Genomic DNA, 22,549 nt, shown 5'->3' on the forward strand with positions numbered 1-22,549 from the left:
TTGTAAGGTTTTGTTTTTTAACTCTGCGCTTTTCCGCATGCCTCACATCTTCCTGGCTTCTCAAGTGAGTATCAAGGAAGCTAAAGTCTTATATTAAAGGGAGCTTTCCTCCAGGGAAGGGAGGGCGGATGAGGATGGGGTCCTAGGAGTCAGGGCCAGGGTTAGTGCTGGCCTGAGGAGAAAGAAGTATAGCTTCCTCCGCCGATGGCCAATATCAGCATGATCCAGCCCCACCCGCAGGCTAATTTCCCCCTGACCCAGCCAGTCTTCAGTTATGGAACAATCCTTCTCAAAAACGTAGACTGGGTGTGGTGGCTCAATGCCTGTAATCCCAGCATTTTGCGAGGCTGAGGCAGGAGGATCACTTGAGCCCAGCCCAGGAGTTCAAGACCAGCCTGGGCAACATGGGGAGACCCCGCCTGTATTAAAAAAAAAAAAAAAAAGGGTGGGGGAGCGGAGGGTGTATGGGGGGAAGATGTGAAGATAAGATCTGTTTCCCTCTTCAGGAGAAACGGCCCCTGGCGGGAATCCCGCCACAGACCGCCAGGAACACCACCTGACACCCACCTCCACCCAGGGAGAGGCTGTCCAGTCCACACAAGCCTTTCTTTGGGGTCTGTCTGGAACCCTGAGCTTTGGGCAGCAAGTGGCATCTGGCTTCAGTGCCCCCACCCCCGAAACACAGAAAGAAGCCTTAATCCCTTGAGGCTGGTGAGGCCCCAAGTCCACCCCTCCCACAAGACAGGTCTTCAGCACTGCGCTGGCCTCCCGTTGGGGGTCTGTTCAGCCACTGGGAATGTCTTCCTTGGCTCCTCTCGCTGACCCTGGCTCTCCTGCACCCAGGATCCTATTATGTGTGTCTGAGGGGCAGGGCCAATGTCATTTTAACTTTCATTGCCTCTTGGGGACGCGTTTTCTCCGTCGCGATATAGACACACGCCTCCACGGAGGCTCCGGGCACTCGGGCTCCCCGTTTTCTCCCCTCTGCCGCAGGCATCCCTGGTCTTCCTTCCCTGCGCTGACTGAGCACCTGGGCTCCTGTGGGAGTGGCTTCCAGCCCCTAGGTCCCCATCGTCCTAGTGCCTTTTCTGAGTGCGTGGAGGTGAAGTCTGTCCGATACCGCAGCTTTGTTCCACTGAGCCTGCTTATCTCCAAGGGCGTTCCTCTCCACTCCACTAAAGCAGCACACACCCATGGGCGCCCACTGCCGTCGGGAGGAGCTCCACCTCTGAACTCTCACAATTCATTCAGCATTTGGCCATCCATATTCTTCAGTTCTTCCCGCTTCCATCTGTGCTCCCAGCGAAAACTACGGCCCCTCCCTTTCCTCCTGGTCGCTTGCTTCCATATGTGAACCCTTACTTGCTTCCCAATCCAGCCCGGAGCCCGTGGTCTGGTACTCGTCGCTTTGCCCCGGAACATTCCAGCCTTGGGTCAGCCCAGCGTCTCCCAGGGTGAGCTGTGGAATGCTGAAGGGCAGCACACAACCACGGAGCAAGAGGAGCGGCAGCTGCCCGGGCTCCCTCCGCAGGCGCCTCTGCACGGCGAGGAGACGCTGGGAACCTCATTCTCCTGCCCCTCCCTCAACTCCTGCCACCGCCTCCCACCCTGCCCTCAGCAGATGGTGCTGCCTCCTACTTCACGGAGCAAATAACTTCTGCGGCTTTCCTCTCAACTACAAATCTCACTGCGCACAGGCACGCCGGCCTTCCCCTTTCCTTTCCCCTGCCTGGGGAGGCTGGACTCTCCTGTCCCGCTCCCTGTGGCCCCGCCCCTCCCCTCCTCCCACCACTGCACCTTCCATTGTCCTTCACCAGGACCTTCTCTTGACCCTGCCTTCATTTCCCTCTCCGTTGATTCTTTCCTTCCCCAAATTAGCCTGCTCAGTTTTCTTCCCCCTCACCTGACCCCTAACCCCTATCAACTCTGTTGTGGTCTGTGTCCCTCCCATTAGCCTCTCTGTTATCTCTTCCACTGCCTGTAATCTGGCATCTCCTTCACCAGTCCCTGAAATGCTTTCACTAAAATCACCTTTGACCTTCATGTTGGCCAAGTCCAGAAGGCATTTCCAGGTCTGATCTGACTTGCAATCTCTTAGTCATTTGACTGTGTTGGCTGCCTTCTCCTTGAAACTCTGCCCTCTGCTGACTTTGTTCCACTTTCTCTTGGTTTAACTGCTGCCTCTCTGGTTGATCCTTCTGTCTCCTTCCTTGGAGCTCCTTCCTCTGTTCTTCTTCCCACCATGCCCCAGGACTCCATACTTGGCTCTAAGCTTTTCTCTTCTGTGCAGGGTCCTTGAAGGTCCCCATGCAAACCCATGGTTTAAATAAGATTTGTTTAAACAAGTAAGATTTAACAATTAAATGGAGAGTCACCATTGTTCACCTCTAGATTGGACTTCTTCCTTCCACTCCACGCTCCAGACCCTTGTATTCAATTATCCATTGGACCTCTCCACTAGGACGACCCACCACCACCTGTTATTCAACATACCCCACACTGAACATTGTTTTTCCCAACACCTGTTGCTCCTCCCGCATCCTCTATTTCAGTGAGCAGCACGCGATCTCACCAGTCACCAAAGCCAGACACACATGTCCTGGAGAAAACCCTACAACCTCTGCTCTGGGGCCACCACACTGTAAATCATATATTTCATCTTCTTTGATGTGGAGCATGAAATGATTAAGCTGCAATGTCCTGAGCCACTGTTTCCCAGTGATTGTGACCCAGGCAGGGTCACGACAGCCATATTTCTGTCCCCAAAGCGGGGCCATCTAGGTTGGGACTCAAAACACAAAGAAATTCTGCCACAAAGGTTCAATGTCACTTTCCTTGGCCCCAAAAGAGAAACTGGAGAGACCAGAGTGCTCAGATTAGGTAGGCAGCTGCAGCCTCCCACTGTAGCCACCCTGCAGAGCATGAGGGAGGGACTCACTGATAAAGCACCAGGACTACCCACTGCAGTCTCTACTTCAGAGGAAGCAAGCCATTGATGGAGATGTACTAAACACTGGGCTCTGCGGCTGAAGGAAGGAGCTGAGTTCTCCTGCTTATCTCTGCTCCAGTGTCCTATCTTGAAGGACTGTGTCCTGACCCCAGTGAGAAACATGACCTGTCTGACCCTCCCAACCCTTCCTGGAAACTTTCCAGTTCTCAGTGAGTTGCTGGGAGCTGCCCTGCTGGACACCCGCCTGGGGAGGGTGTAGACTTATCTTGCCGGGCTGAGAGAGGGAAGTCTTTCCCAATACTAGTCTATTAAAACACACACTGGGCTGGGCGCAGTGGCTCACGCCTGTAATCCCAGCACTTTGGGAGGCCAAGGCGGGTGGATCATCTGAGGTCAGGAGTTCGAGACCAGCCTGACTAAAATGGCTTCACCCTGTCTATACGAAAAATACAACAAATTAGCTGGGCATGGGGGCAGACGCCTGTAATCCCAGCTACTCAGGAGGCTGAGGCAGGAGAATTACTTGAACCTGGGAGGCGGAGGTTGCATTGAGCTAAGATCAGGCCGTTGCACTCTAGCCTGGGCAACAAGAGCGAAACTCCATCTAAAAAAACCAAAACACACACACACACACACACACACACACACACACACACACACACACACACACAGTGGCCCGGCATGGTGGCTCATGCCTGTAACCCCAGCACTTTGGGAGGTCAAGGTGGGCAGATCGCCTGAGGCCAGGAGTTCGAGACCAGTCTGGCCAACATGGTGAAACCCTGTCTCTACTAAAAATACAAAAATTAGCTGGGTGTCCTGGCGTGCCCCTGTAATCTCGGCTACTCAGGAGGCTGAGGCAGGAGAATGGCTTGAACCCAGGAGGCAGAGGTTGCAGTGAGCAGAGATCGCGCCACTATACTCCAGCCTGGGCGACAGAGTAAGTCTCCTTCTAAAAAAATAAAATAACAAAACAAAACACACACACACTTTCCCTCTCTCTCTCTCTCCAAAACGTGATGGAGTGTCTCCTCTTAAGAAAGGAGTGTTTTTGGACACAGAAAGAGGGAGTTCCTCCAGCCTAGCACAGCCTGAGTTTGGCCTGGGCTGGAAATTCTGCAGAAATCTTCCATCCTGCCACTGGGAATAGGACAGGGAGGCCTAAGCCGTGTTTTCGGCCCCCCGGGGCCCAGCAGGGACATGTGTGGGTTCCAGGACTGGGGCAAGGAGGAGAGGATGCCCAGGTTTACTCAAGGGCAGGCAGGAGGTGAGGAGGGGGTGACAGGTGGAAGGAAAGGACCATGTCCCACTCTCCACTCCTTCCTCATGGGCCACTCTTCATTTCACTCGCAGCCCCGCAGTGCACAGCTACAAGCTGGGGGTTCATCTCTTCCTGGTCCCCTACTACCTTGGGTGCAGCTCTTCTGCCAGAACCTTCTGGGCGCCTGCTGCTGTGCCTGGGCTCCCCACGCAGGGAGGGACACCCCTGGGGCGGAAGGCAGGCAGCTGCATAGCTGAGTGGCTGCTTCTACAACACCTGGAGAACCGCTGGGGCTAGAAGCAAACATGCAGCAGTTTGGGCCTGGGGGTTGATTCTCCTCTGCAGGGGAAGGGAAGATTTCTAGAAACGCAGAAAGTCTATTCTGTGGAGGTACAAAGGATACCAGAAGACTATAGGAGACATCCTTAGTACCCCCAGATGCTGGCTGTTCTCTAGGTCTACCCTCACACAAAGAAGTGGGTGAGACAACCTTGGACCCCGGCTTTGGATCCAGCATAGTAGAACCGGCCAGCTTGCCCTGTCATGTTTTCTGCAATGTCTGGGACTGCGGTTCTTCATACTTTTGGCTCAGGTTCACCTCTGAAAATCCAGTGAAGCCATGTGATGAAATGCTTATGTGCTTTTACAAAGTGCATGCAGTTTAATAGGCTCCTCAGCTGTTCACCTAGGGATGCTTCAGGCAGCCCTGCCCTGAATGTTCATGGGACTCAGGGCAAGTAGCAAATGGAGGCCCACGTACCACGTGTCTGAGTACAGAGGAGTTATGAGATCAAAGTAGGCTGTGTCTTCCTACCTTGACAGATATATCTTCCTAACAACTTGGAATGTCAGTTTAAATTTAGAACCTGCCCCTTTGGCCTCCCAGCCCCCAGCCTGCCCCTCCTCTTCCCACTTCCCTCCCTGTCCCATTCTACACTGTGAGGGTCCTTGCTTCTGCAGCACACCCCAGCACACAAGTCCAAGTTCCACCTGCACCCCTGCAAACAGCTGTTCCTGGCCACTTACTGGAGCCAGGTGTGCACACTGGCAGATGGGTCTGTTTGCCAGAGAATACCTGAAGCAGAAGGCTGCAGAGTCCTTGGAAATGAACTCAACACCATTTGGATAGAAAAATGCCAGAGTCTAGAATAGTGCTTCAGGTGAATAACCAGCTTTTAAAGTTTCCAATCTGTTAAATTTCTTTCCTTTTTTTTTTTGAGTTGGAGTCTCTGTCACCCAGGCTGGAGTGTAGTGGCACTATCTTGGCTCACTGCAACCTCTGCCTCCTGGATTCAAGCAATTCTCCTGCCTTAGCCTCCTAGGTAGCTGGGATTACAGATGTGTGCCACTACACCAGGCTAATTTTTGTATTTTTAGTAGAGATGGGTTTTTGCCATGTTTGCCAGGCTGGTTTCGAACTCCTGACCTCAAGTGAGCTGCCCACCTCAGCCTCCCAAAGTGCTGGGATTACAGGTGTGAGCCACCGTGCCCAGCCTTTCTTTCCCTTCTTGAAAAGTAAATAAATAAATAAAATTTCCAATCTGTGATAGGCTGGCTGATACTTTTATAAAATACAATGAAAACAAATTCCTGGAAAATGGAAAATGATCAGGAGCTTGGATGTTGCAGCAAAGTAAAATTGTGATAAAAGTTTCTAAATGCTTGGTGTTTCATTTCATTTCATTTCTTTTTTTCTTTTCTTTTTTTTTTTTTTTTTTGAGACGGAGTCTCCCTCTTGCACCCAGGCTGGAGTGCAGTGGCACGATCTCGGCTCACTGCAACCTCCACCTCCTGGGTTCAAGTGATTCTCCTACCTCAGCCTCCCGAGTAGCTGGGACTACAGGTGCCCACCACCACACCCGGGTAATTTTTTGTATTTTTAGTAGAGATGGGGTTTCACTGTGTTAGTCAGGATGGTCTCGATCTCCTGATTTTGTGATCCGCCCGCCTCGGCCTCCCAAAGTGCTGTGATTACAGGTGTGAGCCACTGCACCTGGCCTAATTTTTGTATTTTTAATAGAGACGGGGTTTTGCCATGTTGGCCAGGCTGGTCTCGAACTCCTGATCTCATGTGATCCACCTGCCTCAGCCTCCCAGAGTGCTGGGATTACAGGTGTGAGCCACTGCACCCTGCTGCTTTTCTTTTCTTTCTTTTTTTTTGAGATGGAGTTTCACTCTTGTTACCCAGGCTGGAGAGCAATGGTGCGATCTCTGCTCACTGCAACCTCTGCCTCCCGGGTTCAAATGATTCTCCTGCCTCAGCCTCCTGAATAGCTGGGATTACAAGCATGGGCCACCGTGGCCGGCTAAGTTTTTTGTATTTTTAGTAGAGACGAGATTTCTCCATGTTGGTCAGGCTGGTCTTGAACTCCCAACCTCAGGTGATCTGCATGCCTCAGCCTCCCAAAGTTCTGGCATTACAGGAGTGAGCCACTGCGCCCGGTGCCCTGCTGCTTTTCATTTCTTTCTTTCTTTTTTTTTTTTTTGAGATGGAGTTTTGCTCTTGTTGCCCAGGCTGGAGTGCAATGGCATTATCTCAGCTCACCGCAACCTCCGCCTCCCGGGTTCAAGAAATTCTCCAGCCTCAGCCTCCCGAGTAGCTGCGATTACAGGCATGTGCCACCATGCCTGGCTAATTTTGCATTTTTAATAGAGACAGGGTTTCTACTGGTCAGTCTGGTCTCAAACTCCCGACCTCAGGCGATCCGCCAGCCTCGGCCTCCCAAAGTGCTGGGATTACAGGCGTAAGCCACAGCGCCTCGCCTCTGCTGCTTTTCATTTCTATACTTGGCTCATTGTGGTCCAGTAACAAGCCATCTGTTGAATGGCAGCAGTTCAAGGGCCACAATTTGAGTGTGCTGGTCTAGAAGGAGGCAGTGTGGGCTCCAGCTGGGCAAGTCCAGTCGGCCCCTTTGACTCATCATTTTATGGGAGGGGTATGGCCAGAAGAGGGCTCATGGTGGTGGTGGTGAGGGGAGCTCCCTAGATCAGCCTGCATCAGTAGCCTTTCTTGTCTGAGTTTGGGTGGTATTGTCAGAGGCATTTGAACCAGAGCAACTCCATCTTGAATAGGGTCTGGGTAACATAAGGCTGAGACCTACTGGGCTGCATTTCCAGGAGATCAGACATTCTTAGTTATAGGATGAGCTAGGAGGTCAGCACAAGATACAGGTCACAAAGACCTTGCTGATAAAATAGGATGCAGTAAAGAAGCCAGCCAAAAGCCACCAAAACCAAGATGGTGACACAAGTGATCTCCGGTTGTCCTCACTGCTCATTATGTGCTAATTATTAGCATGCTAAAAGACATTCCCACCTGCGCCATGACAGTTTACAAATGCCATGGCAGTGTCTGGAAGTTACCCTATATGGTAAAAAAAGGGGAGGAACACTCCCCTCAGTTCCAGGAATTGCCCACCCTTTCCTGGAAAACTCATGAATAATCCACCCCCTGTTTAGCACATAACCAAGAAGTAACTATAAGTATAATCAATTGTTACTTGATTAGTCTGTTCTCATGTTGCTAATAAAGACATACCCAGGACTGGGTAATTTATAAAGGAAAGAGGTTTAATTGACCCACAGTTCAGCATGGCTGGGGAGGCCTCAGGAAACTTGCAATCATTGCAGATGGGAAAGCAAACATGTCCTTCTTCACATGGTGGCAGCCAGGGCAAGAATGAGAGCCCAGTGAAGGGGGAAGCCCCTTATAAAACCATCAGATCTTGTGAGTACTTACTATCATGAGAATAGAATAGGGGAAACGGCCTCCATGATCAATTACCTCCCACCAGGTCCCTCCCATAACAAGTGGAGATTATGGGAACTACAAGATGAGATTTGGGTGGGGACACAGCCAAACCATATTATCAGTTGAGCAGCCCATGCCACTGCTCTACCTATGGAATAGCCATTCTTTTATTCTTTTACTTTCTTTTTTTTTTTTTGAAACAGAGTCTCACTCTGTCACCCAGGCTGGAGTGCAGTGGTGTCATCTCACTGCAACCCTTTACTGCAACCTCTGGGTTCAAGCGATTCTCGTGCGTCAGCCTCCCAAGTAAATGGGATTACAGGAATGAACCATTATACCTGGGTAATTTTTGTATTTTTACTAGAGTCAGGGTTTCGCCATGTTGCCCAGGCTGGTCTCAAGCTCCTGAGCTCGAATGATCAGCCTGCCTCAGCCTCCCAAAGTGCTGGGATAACAGGCATGAGCCATGGTGCCTGGCCTATTCCTTTACTTTCTTAATAAACTTGCTTTCACTTTACTCTATTGATTTGCCTCAAAATCTTTCTTTCTCGAGATCTAAGAACCCTCTGCTGGGGTCCGGATTGGGACCCCTTTCTGGTAATAGCATAAGGGAGGGATGTAGTGGGATGTAGACCCTTGAACTGCGTGGAATTCTAGCATGATTTATCAAGAAGTCTGAAGTATCATCTCATATCATGGTGCTAAGTCTCCACTGGGCCAGTGGCCAATGACAGGCAAGGGAATCAAAGGCAGGGTATGTATTCATAAATGAGGAAACCTATTATATGACAGAAGAGCTTAATTCTTATTCTTCTAATTTAAAAAGTTGTTTTTTTTTCAGGATGGGGTCTTGCTATGTTGCCCAGTCTGTTCTCCAACTCCTGGCCTCAAGCAATCCTCCCACCTCATCCTCCTAAGTAGGTGGGATTACAGGTTTGTACTACATGCTGGGCTGAAAACTTTTTGATACCAAAATTTTGATTTGGTTTTTAATATTTGATGTATAGGTACAGAAGAATGCTACAAGCATCAAAGTTCAAGTAAGCTAGGTGTGTCAAAATAAATCTTTAGATAAATAAGGCTGTGCTATGAAATAAATTGTATCCCCCCCAATTCATATGTTGAAATCATAACCCCTATGTGACTGTATTTGTTTTTGTTTGTTTATTTTGTTTTGATTTTGAGACAGTATCACTCTATCACCCAGGCTGGAGTATAGTGGCATAGTCTCAGCTGACTGCAATCTCTGCTTCTGGGGCTCAAACCATCCTCCTGCATCCGCCTCCTGAGTAGCTGGAACTACAGGCATGCACCACCATGCCTAGATAATTTTTGTAGAGACAGGGTCTTGCCATGTTGTCCAGTCTTGTCTCAAATTCCTGAACTCAAGTGATCTGCCTGCTTTGGCCTCCCAAAGTGTTGGGATTACAGGTATGAGCCACTGTGCCTGGCCAGTATTTTGTTACAGCAGCTGGAGTTGACTAATACAGACTGATTGGATAGCTTTAGTTCATCCTAGAGGACAGGTCTTGAGCTGGGCATGGTGGTGCGCATCTGTGGTCCCAGCTACTTGAGAGGTTGAGGCAGGAGAATTGCTTGAACCTGGGAGGCAGAGGTTGCAGTGAGCTGAGGTCGCGCCACTGCACTCCAGCCTGGGCGACATGAGCAAAACAACTCCATCTCAAAAAAAGACAGAAAAAAAGAAAAAAAAGAGAAGAAGAAGAAGAAAAAAGACAGCTTTGCTTTTTACCTTCTTCTAATTTTATTACCATGTGGAAAGTATTGTTTGCATAATATTAGTTTATCCAAGACTTTATTTTTGCAAAGTTTAATTAATCTGAGCTTTCTAAATTTCCTTTGCTGGCTTTACTGGTCAGATAAGCTACTTTACTTCCACTAAATATTTCAGAAGGAGAGTATAAACAACTGTACTCACCTAAATGGAATGATAACTACTAATAAATGTTTTTATAAAAAGACATTCTGGCCAGTCATGGTGGCTCATCCCTGTAATCCCAGCATTTTGGGAGCCTGAGGCGGGAGGATCACTTGAACCCAGGAGTTCAAGACCAGCCTGGACAACGTGGTGAGACCCCGTCTCTGGAAAAAATACAAAGATTAGCCTCCAGTCCCAGCTACTGGAGGGTGCAGGGCCGGGGGTGGGGGCTGAGTTGGGAGGATCGCTTGAACCCAGGAGGTCAAGGTTGCAGTGATTGCGCCGCTGCACTTCAGCCTGGTGACAGAGCAAGACCCTGTCTCAAAAAATGAAAAATAAAAAGACCTTCTGATGTTTTCAGACACTGTGACCCATCAATCTGTGAAAGGAAGATAAATCTCAGGACCCCAAAATCACTAAGCCAAGGGAAAAGTCAAGCTGGGAATTGCATCAGGCAGAACTGCCTCCCATTTTATTGCTAAATGAGATAGCTACAAAGATAAAAGAGCTACATACCTCCCTCACAATTTGTCCACAAGGAAATTCCTTGCGGGCCTCAAAATCTTTATCCTAAAATAGTTCTGTTGAATTTCACCCTGGCAATGTAAACCGTTAGCTTATTTTCACAGGTACAGGACAGAAAGTCATCCCTCTGCTGACTTGAGACAAATGCTTATCTTATTGCTTCCTCTGCCCTATTGTTAATGTAAAAATGCAGATTCACTAAGCCAGAATAAATTGTGTATTCAGTGAAAGGCTGATCAAGGACTGAAAAGAATACAACCTTTTTTGTCTTATCTACCTATGACCTGGAAGCGCTCCCCCACTTCGATTTGTCCCTCTTCACCAGACAGAACCAATGTACATCTTGCACATATTGATTGATGTCTCGTGGCTCCCTAAAATGTGTAAAAGGCTATACCCCGACCACCTTGGGACCACCTTGTCCTCAGGACCTCTGGAGGCTGTGTCATGGGTGTGTCCTTAACCTTGGCAAAATAAACTTTCTTTTTTTTTTTTTTTTTTTTGAGACAGAGTCTTGCTCTGTCGCCCAGGCTGGAGTGCAGTGGCGCAATCTCAGCTCACTGCAACCTCCACCTCCTGGGTTCACGCCATTCTCCTGCCTCAGCCTCCCAAGTAGCTGGGACTACAGGCGCCCACCACCACACCCAGCTTATCTTTTGTATTTTTAGTAGAGACGGGGTTTCACCATGTTAGCCAAGGTGGTCTCGATCTCCTGACCTCATGATCCACCCGCCTTGGCCTCCCAAAGTGCTGGGATTACAGGCGTGAGCCACCGCACCCGGCCAGCAAAATAAACGTCCTAAATTGGTTGAGGCCTGTCTCAGATACTTTGGGTTTACAAATCTAAATCATTCTGCATGTCATCAACTGATAGTTTTCACTGTCCTCTCACACAAGCCTCAGGGCCCTTGCTGTATGCTACAGACCCCATTAGGGTCTTCTGGAAGAAACATCCTAGAAAGATAACCTTAGGAACGTAGAGGAAAGAATGAAACAAAGGACCGGAGACTCAGAATTCCTAGGATCATTTCAGTTCCGCAGTAGGTGACCTCATGACGTCAGGCTACTGACGCAAAACCACTAGAATGAAAATTAATTCCACGAGACTCAGACTGTTGAGCACATTTACTTGAACTGTATTCACCATTATTACTTGGCTACCAGTATGTAAAAGACTTTTGATGAGAATGGTGGTATTAACAAATGTGATTTTTTTGACATTGTATGATGAATTATCTCAATAATCTTTATAACTTAGTGACCCAGTATTTTCCAAATAACCAATGCATGATGTTACAAAATTTTGTATAGTAAAAAAAAAAAAAACAACGTGCAAGATAGAACAATGGATTTTAATGAACAAAAAAATATGAAAACTTAGCTGGGTGTGGTGGCTCACACCTGTAATCCCAGCAGTTTGGGAGGCCAAGGTGGGTGGATCATGAGGTCAGGAGTTTGAGACCAGCCTGGCCAATATGGTGAAACCGTCTCTACTAAGAAAAATTTAAAGATTAGCTGGGTGTGGTGACGTGCACCTGTAATCCCAGCTACTCAGGAGGCTGAAGCAGGAGAATCACTTGAACCCAGGAGGCGGAGGTTGCAGTGAGCCAAGATCACGCCACTGGACTCCAGCCTGGGTGACAGAGGAGACTCCGTCTCAAAAAAAAAAAAAAAAAAAGAAAACTTTATGAATTCGAAATTTGGTTTCAGATTCCATATTGCAACTAGTCCTTAAGGAAATACCACTTGTTGGCCAGGTGCAGGAGCTCATGCCTGTAATCCTAGCACTTTGGGAGTCCGAGGTGGGTGGATTGCTTGAGGCCAAGAGTTCGAGACCAGAGTGGGCAACAAAGTGAGAGCACTGTTGCTAAAAAAAATAAAACAATTAGGCCAGGGGAGGTGGCTTATGCCTGTAATCCTAGTACTATGAAAGGCCAAGGCAGGCAGATCTCTTGAGCCTAGGAGTTTGAGGCCAGCCTGGGCAACACGACAAAAGCCGGTCTCATACAAAAATTAGCTGGGTGTAGTGGTGCACACCAGTATTCCCAGTTATTAATACTTGGGGGGTGCTGAGGCAGGAGGATTGCTTGAGCCTAGGAGGCAGAGTTTGCAGTGAGCCAAGATCAGCCATTGCACTTCAGCCTGGGCAAAAGAGACCCTGTCTCGAAAAAAAAAAAATTAGTTGGGTGTGGTGGTGTATACCTGGAGTCTTTGCTACTTGGAGGCTAAGGCAGGCAGAACACGTGAGTCCAGGAGATGGAGGCTACAGCGAACCATGATCATACAACTGCACTCCAGCCTGGAAGATAGAGTGAGACCTTTGTTAAAAATAAATAAAATGAAATAAACTACCACTTGTTGAGTTTTACATAAAAAAAAATCCACAATTATCTGAAAAGGCTATTAAAATTCTCCATTTTCCAACTACATATCTATGTAGGGCCAAACTTTCTTCGTATAATTCAACTAAAACATCATATAGGAACAGATTGAATATAGAAGCCAAAATTAGATTCATATTGTCTTTTATAAGTCAGACATTAAAGTAAAAGCAAAAACTGTAAAACAATGTCTCTCTTATTTCTCTTTATTTTAAACAAAAATTTGGCGGGGCACAGTGGCTCATGCCTGTAATCCCAGCATTTTGAGAGGCCGAGGGAGGCAGATCATCTGAGGCTGGGAGTTCAAGAGCAGCCTGGCCAACATGGCAAAACCCTGTCTCTACTAAAAAACTAGCCAGGCATGGTGGCATGCACCTGTAATTCCAGCTACTCGGGAGGCTGAGGCAGCTGAGGCAGGAGAATTGTTTGAACCCAGGAGTCAGAGGTTGCAGTGAGCCGAGATCACACCACGGCACTCCAGCCTGGGTGACAGAGTGAGACTCTGTCTCAAAAAAAGAAAAAAACACCAAAAACGACAAAATTTAAAAATATACATTTGTAGTGGTTTAATTGTTATTATTTCAGATTTCATAAAAATATTAATGAATTAATATTTTAAATTCTCAATTTTAATATCTTTTTGTTTTGTTTTGATTTTTGAGACAGAATCTCACTCTGTCGCCCAGGTTGGAGTGCAGTGGTGCAATCTCAGCTCATTGCAACCTCCGTTTCCCAGATTCAAGTGATTCTCTTGACTCAGCCCCCCAAGTAGTTGTGACTACAGGTGTGTACCACCACACCCAGCCAATTTTTGTACTTTTAGTGGAGATAGGGTTTCACCATGTTGGCCAGGCTAGTCTTGAACCCCCGGCCTCAAGTGATCTGCCCTCCTCGGCCATCCAAAGTGCTGGGATTATAGGCGTGTGCCACTGTGCCCACACAATTTTTTTTTTTTTTTTTGAGACAGAGTCTCTGTCACCCAGGCTGGAGTGCAGTGGTGAGATCTTGGCTCACTGCAACCTCCACTTCCCAGGCTCAAGTGATTCTCCCACTTTAGCCTCCTGAGTAGCTGGTTCTACAGGCGCACGTTACCACATCGGGCTAATTTTTGCATTTCTCGTAGAGACAAGGTTTCACCATGTTGGCCAGGCTGGTCTCGAACTCCTGATCACCTTGACCTCCCAAAGTGCTGGGATTACAGATGTGAGCCACCAGTCCTGGCCTGTGCCTGGACACTTTTAATTTCTAATATGGTAAATATTCTTAGACATAACTCACATAAACAAAGGCTCGTTGGAGTCCTCAATATTTTTAAAATTGTGGTAAAATAGAGAACATAAAATTTACCATTGTAACCATTTCAAAGTGTACAACCCAGTGGCTTTGTTCAACCGTTACCTTTTTTTTTTTTTTTTTTTTTTTTTTTTGATATGAAGTCTTGCTCTGTCACCCAGGCTGGAGTGCCATGGTGTGATCTCGGCTCACTGCAACCTCCGCCTCCTGGGTTCAAGCAATTACTCTGCCTCAATCTCCCAAGTAGCTGGTACTACAGGCGCCCACCACCATGCCCGGCTAATTTTTGTATTTTGAGTAGATACTGGGTTTCACCATGTTGGCCAGGCTGGTCTCAAACTCCTGAACTTGTGATTCACCCGCTCCAGCCTCCCAAAGTGCTGGGATTACAGGCGTGAGCCACTGCATCTGGCCTCAACCGTTACCATTATCTAAGTCCCAGGTCTCTCATTACCCCAAGTAGGAACTTCATACCTAGAAAATAGCCACTCCCACGTCCCTCTGCCGCCCCAGATCTCGGCAACCACTCATCTGCTTTCTGTTTCTATGGGTTATTTCTATTATGGAAATTTCATACAAATGGAAATATAATATGTGACCTTTTGTGTCTCTGGCTTCTTTCACTTAGCATAATGTTTTCAAAGTTCATCCATGTACTATTACTTAATCCTTTCTATGGCCAAATAATATTCCATTGTATGAATATGCCCCATTTTGATTATCCATTCCTCTGATGGACATCTTACGTTGTTTCTACCTTAAAAAAAATTTTTTTTAGGCTGAGGATGGTGCCTCAAGTTTGTATTCCTGGAATTTGGGAGACTAAGACAGGAGGATCTCTTGAGCCCCAGAGTTTGAGACCACCCTGGACAACATGGCAACACCTTGTCTCCACAAAAATTTTTAAAAGACAGGGCATGGTGGCTCATGCCTCTAATCCCAGCAATTTGGGAGGCCGAGGCAGGTGGATCACCTGAGGTCGGGAGACCAGCCTAGCCAACATGGCGAAACCCTGTCTCTACTAAAAATACAAAAATTAGCTGGGTGTGGTGGCGGGCACCTGTAATCCCAGCTACTCAGCAGGCTGAGGCAGGAGAATTATATTTCCATTTGTATGAAATTTCCATAACAGGCATAACCCAGAGAAACAGAAAGCAGATTAGCGGTTGCCCAGATCTGGGGTGGGAGAGGGACATGGGAATGGCTACTTAGTAGGTATGAAGTTTCTACTTGGGGTAATGAAAGAGCCCTGGGACTTAGATAATGGTAATGGTTGAGGCCAGGCGCGGTGGCTCATGCCTGTAATCCCAGCACTTTGGGAGGCTGAGGCGGGCGAATCGTGAGGTCAGGAGTTCGAGACCAGCCTGGCCAATATGGTGAAACCCTGTCTCCGTCTCTACCAAAAATACAATTCTCCTGCCTCAGACTCCTGAGTAGGCGGAGGCAGGGTTGCAGTGAGCCGAGATTGCGCCATTGCACTCCAGCCTGGGAAACAACCGTAAAACTCCATCTCAAAAAAAAAAAACAGAAAGAAATTGAAAAATTAGCTGTGCATGGTGATGCATGCTTGTAGTCCCAGCTACTCAGGACGCTATTAAGCAAGAGGATCACTTGAACCCAGGAGTTCCAGGCTGCTGTGTGTTCACACCACTGCACTCCAGCCTGGGCGACAGACAGATCCTATGCCAAAAAAACCCCTTTTTTCTTTCTTTTCTTTTCTTTTTTTTTTTTTGAGACAAAGTATCGCTCTATTGCCCAGGCTGGGATACAGTGGCTCAATCTCAGCTCACTGCAACCTCCGCTTCCTGGGTTCAAGTGATTCTCCTGACTCAGCCTCTCGAATAGCTGGGATTACAGGCGCGTACCACCATGCCCTGCTAATTTTTTGTAATTTTAGTAAATACGGGGTTTCACCATGCTGGCCAGGCTGGTCTCAAACTCCTGACCTCGTGATCCGCCCACCTTGGCCTCCCAAAGGCCTGCTGGGATTACAGGTGTAAGCCACCGTGCCTGGCCAAAAAACCATTTTGTTTAGAGACAGAGTCTTGCTATGTTGCCCAGGCTGAGTGCAGTGGCTATTCACAGGCATGATCATACCATACCACACAGCCTGAAACTACTGGGCTCAAGCGATCCTCCCTCCTCAAACTCCTGAGTAGCTGGGACTACAGGCGCACCACTGCTCTTGGTTTTGTTTCCACCTTTGGCTAGTGTGAATAGGGCTGCTATAAACATTTTTGTGTGGCCGGGTGCGGTGGCTCACGCCTATAATCCCAGCACTTTGGGAGGCCAAGGCAGGTGGATCACCTGAGGTCTGGAGTTCGAGACCAGCCTGGCCAACATGGTGAAACCCCATTTCTACTAAAAGTACAAAACTTAGCTGGGCGTGGTGGTGGGTGCCTGTAATCCCAGCTACTTGGGAGGCTGAGGCAGGAGAATCTCTTGAACCCAGGGGGCGGAGATTGCAGCGAGCTGAGATCACGCCATTGTACTCTAGCCTGGGCAACAAGTGCAAAATTCTGTCTCAAAAAAAAAATTTTTTTTGTGTGCAAGTTTTGACTTGAACACCTGTTATCAATTATTTTGGTTATATACTAGGAGTAAAATTGCTGGTCATATGGCAATCCTATGTTTAACTTATTGAGAAACTGCCAAATTGTTTTCCACAGCAGCTGTACCATTTCATATTCATTTTCCATTCCCCGGCTTACTTTCCTTTTTAAAATAATTATTGCCGGGCGTGGTGGTTCACACCCATAATCCTAGCACTTTTGGAGGCCGAGGTGGGTGGATCACCTGAGGCCAGGAATTAGAGACCAGCCTGACCAATGTGGCGAAATCACATCTCTATTAAAAATACAAAAATTGGGCCAGGCGCGGTGGCTCACACCTGTAATCCCAACACTTTGGGAGACTGAGGCGGGCGGATCACCTGAGGTCGGGAGTTTGGGACCAGTCTGACCAACATGGAGAAACCCCATCTCTACTAAAAAATACAAAAAAATAAGTCAGCTGTGGTGGTGCATGTATGTAATCCAGGCTACTCGGGAGGCTGAGGCAGGAGAATCACTTGAACCCAGGAGACAGAGGTTGCAGAGAGCCGAGATCGCCCACTGCACTCCAGCTTGGGCAACAAGAGTGAAACTCCGTCTCAAAACAAAAACAAAAACAAAAATTAGCCGGGCATGATGGCGGGTGCCTATAATCCCAGCTAATAGGGAGGCTGAGGAATGAGAATCACTTGAACTCGGGAGACAGAGGTTGCAGTGAGCTGAGATCATGCCACTGCACTCCAGCCTGGGCAATAGAGCGAGACTCCGTCTCAAAATAAATAAAATAATATAATTATTATGGGCTGGGTATGGTAGCTCACACTTGTAATCCCAGCACTTTGGGAGGCCAAGGCTGGTGGATCACTTGAAGTCAGGGTTTGAGACCAGCCTGGCTAACATGGTGAAATCCTGTCTCTACTAAAAATACAAAAATTAGCCGGGCGTGGTGGCAAACGCCTGTAGTCCCAGCTACTTGAGAGGTTGAAGCAGGAGAATCATTTGAACGCAGGAGGTAGAAGTTGCAGTGAGCGGAGATCTGGGCAACACAGTGAGATTCTGTCTCTAAATAAATAAATAAATAAATAAATAATTAGCCAGGCGTTGTGGTGCCTGCTTGTGGTCCCAGTTACTCAGAAGGCTGAGGTGGGAGGATCGCTTGAACCTGGGAGGTCAAGATTACAGTGAACTATGACTTTGCCCCTGAACTCCAGCTTGAGTGACAGAAAGATACTGTCTCAAAAAATATATATATATATTTTTTAATTTTAGCTCACTATGGTCTCAAACTCCTAGGCTCAAGTAATCATCCTGCCTCAGCCTCCCGAGTAGCTGGGATTACAGGCGTGGATTACTCCACGCCCTGCTAATTTTTGTATTTTTTGTAGAAATATAAAAATTCACTGTTTTGGACAGGCTGGTCTTGAACTCCTGACCTCAAGTGATCGCCTGCCTTGGCCTCCCAAAGTGCTGGGATTACAGGCGTGAGCCACCGTGCCCAGCCCCAACTTCATTCTTTTACATGTAGATATCCAATTGTGTTCTCAACAATCTTTGTTTTTAGTATAATTATGTTGTCTTTTTAATTTTTTTTTTTTTTTGAGACGGAGTCTCACTCTGTCGCCCAGGCTGGAGCACAGTGGTGTGATCTCGGTTCATTGCAAGCTCCGCCTCCCGGATTCACGCCATTCTCCTGCCTCAGCCTCCTGAGTAGCTGGGACTACAGGTGCCCGCCAACACGCCCGGTTAATTTTTTGTATTTTTAGTAGAGACGAGGTTTCATCGTGTTAGCCAGGATGGTCTCGATCCCCTGACCTCGTGATCTTCCTGCCTCGGCCTCCCAAAGTGCTGGGATTATAGGCATGAGCCACCGCGCCCGGCCAGAAAAGTTTTTAATTATTTCATTCTCAGCCTACACCCTAAATATATATAATTTTTATTTGTCAATTTAAAAAATAATTAAGGCACAGGGAGCAGTGGCTCACGCCTGTAATCTCAGCACTTTGGGAGGCCGAGGCGGGTGGATCACCTGAGGTCAGGAGTTTGAGACCAGCCTGACCAACATGGCAAAACCCCATCTCTACTAAAAATACAAAAATTAGCTGGGTGTGGTGGCGCATGCCTGTAATCCCAGCTACTTGGGAAGCTGAGTCAAGAGAATGGCTTGAACCCAGGAGGTGGAGGTTGCAGTGAGCTGAGATAGCACCATTGTACTCCAGCCTGGGAGAAAAGAGTGAAACTACGTCTCAAACAAAACAAAACAAAAATAATAATTAAGCCTGGCTGGCGTAGTGGCTCATGCCTGTACCCCAGCATGTTGGGAGGCTGAGGCAGACGGATCACCTGAGGTCAGGAGTTTAAGACCAGTCTGGGTATCATGGGAAAACTGCATCTCTACAAAAAAATACAAAAATTAGTTGGGTGTAGTGGCATGCACCTGTAGTCCCAGCTACTTGGGAGGCTAGGGTGGGAGGATCGCTTGAACCGGGGAGGTTGAGGCTGTGGTGAGCCAAGATTGCACCACCGCACTGCAGCCTGGGTGACAGAGCAAGACCTTGTCTCAAAAAATAGTAATAATAATAATAATAAAATTGCTGCTCTAGGATAATCAATAAAAATAGTAAAAGAACGTATAATTGGGCTGGGTGCAGTGGCTCATGCCTGTAATCCCAGCACTTTGGGAGGTCAAGGTGGGCAGATCACGAGGAGGAGCTCGAGACCAGCCTGGACAATATGGTGAAACCCCATCTCTAATTAAAAAACAAAAACAAAAACAAAAACAAAAACAAAAAATTAGTCAGGCATGTTGGCACGCGCCTGTAATCCCAGTTACTTGGGAGGCTGAGGCAGGAGAATCGATTGAACCTGGGAGGTGGAGGTTGTAGAGAGCCAAGATCGCGCCACTGCACTCCAGCCTGGTGACAGAGCGAGACTCTGTCTCAAAAAAAAAAAAAAAAAAGACTTTAGTTTGCATGGGAAGTGAATGCGTTGCCAGCATGGTACCTACTGACTGTAGTTTCCGTAGCTCTCTCTTATTTTCCTAGCTGGGTGTTTGCATTACACCATGGTACCCAAAGGCAAAGTGGGCCCAGGAAAGAAGAAGCAGATATTTGAAGAGAACAGAGAGACCCTGAATTTCTACCTGTAGATTTTACTGGGGGGCAAGGACATTTTTCTCCTTTATTTCTAAGGGAGGAGACCACCCCTTATATTGTCTTATGCCCAATTTCTGCCTCCACAGAAAGAAAAAGTGAAAACTAAAAGGCAGAAATGGAATCCACAGGCAGATAGCCAAGCACCGCGCCCTGGGCCTGGTAGTTAAAAATCAACCCCTGACCTAACTGCTTGTGTTATCTATAGAGTTCAGACATTGTATGGAAAAGCATCGTGAAAATCCCTGTCCTGTTCGTTCAGTTCTGCTTACTGGTGCATGAAGCCCCCAGTCATGTACCCACTGCTTGCTCAATAAATCACGACCCTCTCACGTGGACCCCCTTAGAGCTGTAATCCCTTAAAAGGGACAGGAATTGCTCACTTGGGGAGCTCGGTTTTTGGAGACGTGAGTCCGTCGATGCTCCCAGCTGAATAAAGCCCTTTCCTTCTACAACTCGGTCTCTGAGGGGTTCTTGTCTGTGGCTCATCCTGGTACATTTCTATTAATACTGCTTGTCTTAATACTCTCTTGTGACCTTAATACTCTCTTGTGACCTTGTGACCTTGATATTCTCTTATGACCTTGGTCTTCTCCTCAACTGCTTCATTTTGGGCCTGGTTGGCCCTGAGCTTTAGTCTTTAGTGGGCTGATCACAAGGTCAGGAGTTCAAGACCAGCTTGGCCAACATAGTGAAATCTTGTCTCTACTAAAAATACAAAAAAAAAATTAGCCAGGCATGGTGGCGGGTGCCTGTAAATCCAGCTACTTGGGAGGCTGAGGCAGGAGAATCGCTTGAACCTGGGAGGCGGAGGTTGCAGCGAACCAAGATCTCTCCACTGCACTCCAGCCTGGTGACAGTGCGAGACTCCATCTCAAAAAAAAAAAAAAAAATACATAAAATAAAATAACACATACGGGGCAGGTGTGGTGGCTCACGCCACCTCAGTCTCCCAGCATGCTGGGATACAGGCATGAGCCACCATGCCTGGCCAGCCTTAATTATTATTTTTGTTTTGTTCTGTTTGAGACGGAGTTTCACTCTTGTATTCCCAGCACTTTGGGAGGCTGAGGCAGTGGGTGGATTACTTGAGGCCAGGAGTTCAAGACCAGCCTGGCCAACATAGCAAAATCCCGTCTCTACTAAAAATATAAAAATTAGCCAGGCTTGGTGGCACATGCCTGAAATCCAAGCTACTAGGGAGGCTGAGGCAGGAGAATGGCTTGAACCTGAGAGGTGGAGGTTGCAGTGAGCTAAGATCATGGCACTGCACTCCAGCCTGGGCCACAGAGCGAGACCCTGTCTCAAAAACTAAATAAATAAATAAAATAAAATAAAAAACACATAGGCCCGGGTGCGGTGGCTCACTCCTGTAATCCCAGCACTTTGGGAGATGGATCCCCTGAGGTCAGAAGTTCGAGACCAGCCTGGCTAACATGGCAAAATATGTTAAAACCATGCCTGGCTAACACGGCAAAACCCCGTCTCTACTAAAAATACAAAAACAAAAATTAGCCGGGGGTGGTGGTGCATGCCTGTAGTCCCAGCTACCCAGGAGGCTGAGGCCGGAGAATCACTTGAACCCGGGAGGCAGAGGTTTCAGTGAGCCGAGATGCTGCCACTGCACTCTAGCCTGGGAGATAGAGACTCTGTTTAAAAAAAAAAAAAAAGGAAGAAGGAAATAATAAATCTAAGAACAGAAACTAGTGAAACAAAAACCAAACATAGCCCAGTATAAATTAACAAAGCAAAAAGTTGGTTTGTTTGAAAGAACTAAGATTAATAAACTTTTTTTTTTTTTGAGACGGAGTCTCACTCTGTCGCCCAGGCTGGAGTGCAGTGGTACAATCTCAGCTCACTGCAAGCTCCGCCTCTCGGGTTCAAGCCATTCTCGTGCCTCAGCCTCCCAAGTAGCTGGGACTACAGGCGCCCGCCACCACGCCCGGCTAATTTTTTGTATTTTTAGTAGAGACGGGGTTTTACCGTATTAGCCAGGAAGGTCTCGATCTCCTGACCTCGTGGTCCGCCCACCTTGGCCTCCCAAAGTGCTGGGATTACAGGTGTGAGCCACTGCGCCCAGCCATAAATATATATATATTTTTTGAGACGGAATCTCACTCTGTAGCTCAGGCTGGAGTGCAGTGGCGCGATATCGGCTCACTGCAAGCTCCACCTCCCGGGTTCACGCCATTCTCCTGCCTCCCCAGCAGCTGGGACTACAGGCGCCCGCCAGCACGCCTGGCTAATTTTTTTGTATTTTTAGTAGAGATGGGGTTTCACCGTGTTAGCCAGGATGGTCTCGATCTCCTGACCTTGTGATCCGCTTGCCTCAGCCTCCCAAAGTGCTGGGATTACAGGAATGAGCCACCACGCCCGGCCTCATAAACATTTTTCAAAGGCACAAAGTGCCAATATCAGGAATGAAAAGGGGCTGGGCATGGTGGCTCATACCTCTAATCTAACACTTTTCGGGGTTGAGGCAGGAGGATCATTTCAGGACAGGAGATTGAGACCAGCCTGGGCAACATAGCAAGACCCTCATCTATAAAAGCAACAAAAAAATTAGGCCAGTGTGGTGATATGTACCTATAGTCCTAACTACTTGAGCCCAGGAGTTCAAGGCTATAGTGAGCTATGATTGTGCCACTGCACTCCAGCTTGGGGGACAGAGTGAGACTCTGTCTCAACCACCACCACCACCACCACCACCGGAAACAAGAAGTAGGAAATATGGGCTGGGTGCGGTGGCTC

General features: G+C 47.8%; 1 annotated feature.

Moving 5' to 3' along the window:
* Positions 10,409–10,609: a silencer, noted in NCBI's record as "peak417 fragment used in MPRA reporter construct". NCBI's record gives its function as "represses an SCP1 promoter by STARR-seq MPRAs in K562 erythroleukemia cells {active_cell/tissue: K562}" and the evidence as "EXISTENCE:reporter gene assay evidence [ECO:0000049][PMID:32103011]".

Source organism: Homo sapiens, chromosome 1, assembly GCF_000001405.40.
Source record: "Homo sapiens chromosome 1, GRCh38.p14 Primary Assembly".
Taxonomy (NCBI): domain Eukaryota; kingdom Metazoa; phylum Chordata; class Mammalia; order Primates; family Hominidae; genus Homo; species Homo sapiens.